Source organism: Homo sapiens, chromosome 15, assembly GCF_000001405.40.
Source record: "Homo sapiens chromosome 15, GRCh38.p14 Primary Assembly".
Lineage (NCBI taxonomy): Eukaryota > Metazoa > Chordata > Mammalia > Primates > Hominidae > Homo > Homo sapiens.
Window position 1 is genome coordinate 55172682 of NC_000015.10, and position 7370 is coordinate 55180051.

Below are 7370 nucleotides of genomic sequence, written 5' to 3' on the forward strand. Positions count from 1 at the left end.
ACGCTATTCAAAATAAGGAACAGATTACTTTCCTGGATGGATAGAGCTCACAATTAAGTGGGCAAGTACAGCAACCCATGTTATGGGAGTAAACCAGGCCCAGGCATAACCCAGGTTCCCTCCAAATAGAGGCATCACAGATACAGGCAATGAGGTGTGCACAGGTAAGGAGAGCAGTAGGAAAATAAAAAGATGCCTGAACCTTTTTAGAAAAAAACCTTCTCAGGCTGAGATAGGTCCAAAATTTAGCACATTTTAAAATAGTTTTTGTTTTTAATTACAAAGTCAGTACTTCTCATTTAAAGCAACATCTGAATTAACACACAAAGAAAAATAACATTTAAAACATCCATAATGCTATTTATTCAGAAAATATTTGTCCTTGCAATGGTATTTGTAATTGTTTAAAAGCAGGATTTCTAAATCTCAGTACTACTGACGTTTTGAGCCAAATAATTACTTGTGGTAGGGGGCTGTCCTGTGCATTGCAGGATGTTCAGCGGCATGCCTGACTGCTAATCACTAAAGGCCAGTAGCACCAACCTCCACCCTGCTTGTAACAACCTAAAGGGTCTCCAGACATTCACAAATGGCCCCTCAGAGGCAAAAATCACTCCTGCTTGAAAACTACTCTTTTAGAGGAATCATATCATACAATTTTGAAACCAGCAATTTTCATTTAATGTATTGTAAGCATCTTTCTATGTCATTCGACACATGACTGCAGCATCTAATTTAACTAGTCCTTAATCAGTCCTTAACTTTATTTAACTAGTTCTTCTTTTCAATGTTGTGCTAAAAAATATAGTGAATATTTTAGTACGTGCATATTTGGGCACATAATTATTTCCTTACGATATATTTCTTAAGTACAATTTCCGAGTCAAGTTTTTGTATATTTTTTATGTCATTTTTCTTTTAAAACCCTTAACACACCTTGTATCATTTTCCATTTGTGATTGGTGTCAGCCTCTGTGACTTTCTTTCCCTCACTATTCCATGTGTGCAAGGATTGCCATCTGTTCCATTTACTATAATATCCCCACCATGTCTAGAAGTGCCTGGCACATAGTAGCACCTCAATAATATTCATTGAATGGGTGAATGGATAACCGAAAAAATAGCAGTTAAACTTTCAAACACTTTGCAGGTTGCTAGTTTTGTAACTCACTCATCTTATCCAAAAATAAACATTTGAAGTTGATCCCAAAGTAATAAATAGGCTATAAATATATCTTGCTTTTAGAGAAGAGGGAAGGGTATTAAGAAGAGGTAGATTAAAAGTCCAAAACCTAGATAGGAGCGGTGGATCACGCCTGTAATCCCAGCACTTTGGGAGATTGAGGTGGGTGAATCACTTGAGGCTAGGAGTTCAAGACTAGCCTGAGCAACATGGTGAAACCCCATCTCTACTGAAAATACAAAAATTAGCTGGGCAAGTGGTGGCAGGTGCTTGTAGTCCCAGCTATACTCCGGAGACTGGAGCAGGAGAATCGCTTGAACCCAGGAGGCAGAGGTTGCAATGAGTCGAGATCGTACCACTGTATTCCAACCTGGGCAAGAGTGACGCTGTGTCTCAAAAGAAAAAAAAAAAAGTCCAAACCCGAACACTTGGGTTTCAAGGCTGCAGTTAGAGTGAAGAGATTTTGGTGGAGATAGGGAAGCAATGAACTATTTATTAAATCCCCATAGCTCCAGAGCTTCTTTAAAAAGTAATACTTATTTACTACCCTCATGACTGTAAAGCTCCCTTCCTGGGAAGAAAATAATAAAGACAGAAAGTGGCTTATTTGTTTTTATAAGTCAGCTAAGAAATTCAGAAGATGCTGCTTTGACTAAATCATTTGTGTTTTATGATGGAAACCCTCCAAAATGAGATTGAATAGTTCATCTGCACTAACACACTGTACCTGTCCATATCTCACTAATGGACCTTGAACTCCAATGTCATTGGGGAAACACAAATCTGATGGTAGAATGTCTTAGTCTGTTTGCTGCTGCTAAACAGACTACCTGAGACTGGGTAATTTACAAGGAAAATAAATTTGTTTCTTACAGTTCTGGAAGCTGGAAGTCCAAGGCTGAGGGACTCGCATCTGGTGAGGGCCTTCTATCTGCGGCATTCAATGGCAGAAAAGCAAAGGGCAAGAAAACACATGGGAGAGACAGAGCCCACTCCCAGAGCCATTTTTTAAAGGCGTTAAACCCACCCACAAGAGTGGAGCCTTCATGGCCTAATCACCTGTTAAAGATACTGTGTCTCAATACTATTACAATGGCAACCAAATTTCAACATGAGCTTTGGAGGGAACAAACATCCAAACTGTAGCAAAGAGGTTCTGATAAAATGCTTCAAGTAATATTCCACTTACTGCTATGCCTGTCCACAGATGGTACAACTCACTTATCTTGGAATAAAAACCCCAATGTCCTCCCTGCATATGTCCTCTTCACCTCCTTTTAAAGTTAGGTGAGTTTTTGTGTGTGTGATAAACCATGCACCAATGGAAGGACAAGATTATGATGAGTGCCTCATTTAGGATCCAAGCAGAAGTCTTAGCCAGGCCTTCATAATTGGGAGAATTAAAGATAAAATATGTAGATCCTGGCAAATGGACCATGCAATCCTCACTGTTTAATTCCAAGGTCGCATCGACCCAGAGAGAATATTAATCAAACTCCAATAAAAAATGAAAACGATTGTCTTTGTACCCTGTTTTACAGCTCAAGGAACATCCAGCTAACTATCATAGTGCAGTCCTATTAGGTATTTGGAAAATTATGTAACTGCTACCGTAGTTATCCAAGCATCAATCTAAAAATGTTCTCATTATTTTGGTGAGCCACTTGATAACATAAATACAGTGTTTCACAACATGCCTCTTGAAAAGGCACTATTTGAAAACACCTTTACATTAATTGCCTAAACTAAGAAATTCTAGCTATTACATAGATCACTAGTTCTGAACCTTGGGAACACATTAGGATCACCTGGTGGCTTTTTAAAAATACCAGCACCTGGGCCCCAATCCCAGAGATTTTCATTTAATTATTCTGGGAGAGGCCCAGGCACTGGCAATTATAAACCTGCCCCAGATAATTCTAATATGCAATCAGATTTGAGGCCTCTCTCTCAATGCTACTGGAGCTCATCCTCTGCTGCTTTGACCCAAATCCTCCTGGATACCTAATCTCTAATGGAGACTTCTCAACTCAAAGAAAGAAAACTTGTTCAGTAAGGTAAACTTTATTTCTGGGAGTCCATATAACTAACAGTGGGGATGAAATATTGTCATGTGTGTGGTGCATTGAGAGAACATGATCTTAGATTCTTTGCCACATCAGTTGTTAGGAAGACAATTCAAATGGCACACTAGTAGTCGGGAGGATAAGGCAGGAAGATTGCTCGAGCCTGGCAGTTTTACAGTGAGCTGAGATTGCACCACTGCATTCCAGCCTGGGTAACAGAGCTAGACCCTGTCTCTAAAAAAAATTAAATTTTTTTAAAGAAGAAATCAAGTAACACATCAGGCAACTTCAAAGCCTACTTCTTACCTTAGATGAACCCTGACACTTAGCATCCAAACGTTCATGCCCTGGAACAAAGACAGTATTCTTATTGGCAATAATCTCAACAACTTGGAGAACTTGAAAATTGGCACAAGTGCAATAAATATTAGATTTAAATGGTCCTAAAAGACATGATCTATATCTAGAATACACTTCCCTATAATTCAGATTTCTCAAATATAACACGAGCTAATTATTTTGTTGCTAAATGAGGCAAGCAATGCCTCACACATAGCAGACACACAATAAACATTTTTTAATCTAATTAATGCTGAAATTGCTCATAAAGTGGGTATTGATAAAATTTAGAATTCTTATTTGATAACAAGATTAGCAGGCATTTCAGCACTGACTGTAAGACAGTTCCTCCAACAATTATACTAGAATTAATATCGTTGCTGTACTAATTTTTTTAAGAACAGTAAATTTCAAAAATTGTCATTTCATTAAAGTTGCTGTCTTAATTACACTTAACCTCAAATGATATCCTGTCAGTCCTGAAAGAACTGGGAAGAAAAAGTATCCATTCTTGTCACAAGAAAAATTAAACTACTCCATAAAATCTATCATTTCCCCAAGACATTTTCTTTTACTGCTAGATTTTTTTCCTCCAATGAATAAAAAACATATATTGAGGACCAACCATGTGCCAGGCAGGCCCCATGTTAGATGCTGTTTAGGATATCGGCTAGTGATTAGGAGTCAGACAGACCGTGCTTGAATCTAAGCTCTGCTAGTTGTTAGTGATATAGATCAAGTTACTCAATTTCTCTAACTTTCCTGTTTCTCATCTGCACAATAAGAAGGGCTAACTTGCGGGGTTGTTGATATTGGGAGACAATATATGCAATGTACCTGGCCTTAATTATTGCTCTGTCATTGGAATCTCACAACTCTGGGACTAGAGGGTACTATATCCTCTTTGCAAATGTGTAATCAAAGGCACTAAGAGGTTGTGACCTAGATACTTTTATCTTTTGAGATGCTTTCTCCCTACACTTTTTTCGGGGGGGTTGGGGGCAGACAATCTCTCTCTGTTGTCACCCAGGCTGGAGTGCAGTGGCACAGTCATAGTTCACTGAGGTCTTGATCTCCTGGGTTCAAGCAATTCTCCTGCCTCAGGCTCCCAAGTAGCTAGGACTACAGGCATGTGCCACAGTGCCTGGCTATTTTTTTTTTTTTTAAAGAGTCAGGGTCTCACTATGTTGCCCAAGCTGGCCTTGAACTCCGGGCCTCAAGTGGCCCTTCCGCCTTTGCCTCTCAAAGCACTGGGATTACAAGCATGAGCCACCGTGCTATTTCCATTGTATGTTCTTTTAATGCATCTTCTGGTAATTCTTGTGTTTCTAGAAATGTAGAAATTCTATCTCTACAGAGTCAGAAAGCTTCTAGCTCTTGTGTTCTGGCAGCATGAAGAATCTGAGAATAGTGAAGAAAAACTCAGGGGATAGGATTGTATGCAACTGTAGCTTAACACAGCATGAACAAGCCTTTTGTATCCTCATCTGCTTTGGGATGGCATACCCTTTTAATCAGGTGAACTGCCTTTAATAGTTGCTTGCTGCCTGCATTGCGTTTTCTGACACCATAAAAGGAAATACGTGACAAAATCATGAAGTACAGACTAAGAAACTGTATGGGGCAACTGATTAGAATAGCATTCGCACTGGTGTTCCTCTTAAGATTCCAAGGCTTGGTGTCGAACCAAATGTATAGACACTTTCTAAAATATAGTACACTAAACAAAACAAGTATGTAACAGTTGGCATTCTGAAAACAAAGAGTTTCTTACAATACTAAGGAGCCAATGTCCTATATTTTTGTCTTGAAGAAAAAAATCTCTGTTTCAACAGATTCTCCCTAATTCGTTCTCCTTATTTCTAATTTTATACTCTGGCTATTGAAGTAAAGGACTATTTCCATCAACAAAGCAAGTTCCAGACAAAAGTTCTTTAAGAAACTTGCCAAAAAAACAGCTCATGCTGTCTTTCCTGGGATTCTTCGACATGTGAATGCTCCAGCCAGACCCAGAAATGCAGCTTTTACTACCATTCGATAATGATCTAAGAAGCAAAAATCAGATATGTAACCCTAAAGCCAGCACTGCTCCCCAGCAAGCCTTCCCAACAGCACAGATTTCATTAATGTCACAGTCACACGGGCTGCTTCTGTTCTTGGTATATCTCTCTGTTGTTAATTTATTCTTTGTATCTTTCAAATTACTGGTTATTTTTAAAATAGACTAATGTAAACCTAGCATATGGCTACACACTCATTTTCCATTTAGTTGACATTGACTGAGCACCTTCTATGGTCCTGGTACCCAATACATGCCTGGGATAAGAAACAAACAGTCCCCGCGCTCTTGGAAATTATGATAGAAATGCATTACCTGGATATGTTGGAGGATGCCTTCCAGTTAAAATTTGGGGCTGCAAACTTTGATAAAAAGGAACTTATTAGCAGGATCATAGGGAGACACAGAATCAATCAGAGGCTAAAGAAAGAGACCAGGTAACTGGTACCCCAGGGAAGATCATGCGGCAGAAGAATCACCTCTCCCACATGCTAGCTTCAGTTGATTAAGATTAAAACGGGAGAGCTTAAATCAGAGGTCATCCTATAGCAGCACCAGAAGGTAGACTCTTATTTAGCATAAGGAATACATTCTTCAAAAGAGGTAATTTCCCCTTTTGTAGAAACGATTCAAATAAACATGAAGACATGCAAGGTACAATTTGTGGATCTCCTGTTCAATCCTACAACATATTAATCAAGGAATATAGACTGGGAAATCCTTCCAGAGTCCTTGAAATTTAGTTTTTAAGTTTTTAATGTTGATGTTTTCCCCTTGTCTTTTCAACACAATTCAGCAAGCTGCCATGTTAACTTTTACACAGAACTCTGCATTGGATATTAGAATTTACCTTAAGCTGTGAGCAATTAAAGTCTGATGTCTTTTTCCAGATCTCCATTTAAAATGTAAATTAAAGGGCAAAGGGAAAAGTAACTTCCCTTATGTCACTTAAATTATCCCTTAAGATTACAGGAAACTATTCATTTTTTCAAACTAAGAGGAACCAAAAATGTATTTCCCCTTCCCACTCTTCACAACAGAAAATGCTCAGGTAGTGAGATGCTCTTCTTAGTAACAACTTTCTGGCTGACTTGAAGGCTAAAATTGATGTTTTAAACCATACATGTCCCTGTTTTTGTTGATTAAGTGGACTTCACTCAATTTAGCCACAGCTATCCCCAAACCTTAACACTCTCCACCTTTCTCCCAAGTCGAATCTCATTGCTGTTGTTTTGTGTGGCCACACACAACCAATCCTAATAGCTAACATTTTAACACTAGCTTACTATGGTGGTGGCCTTTAAGTATTTTACATGTATTAGCTGATTGAATCCTTGCAAAGAATTCCAGGGTTGGTCCTATTATTAACTTCATTTTTCAGATGAAGAAACCAAGTCACAGTCAAGTTGAGTGTCACTCTCTTAGCTGTTATCTGGACTTGTGAAGACTTGATACACAAGGCTCTGGATAAAATCCTACATAAATGCAGGGAAACAGACTTGTATAAACACAAATCACTAACACCTTGATATTCTAGTTGTGTGGTAAAGGAACAAGTTACCTAGTCCTCAAAGTTTTCTACCTATATATTTAAATGGGAATAATGCTATCTACTTCATGAGATACTGTGAAATAAGCCAATCTTCTCAAACTCTTCTAAACTCAAACTCTTCTAAACTTACTCTTCTAAACTCTTCTCAAACTCTTATAGATACAGAAGTTT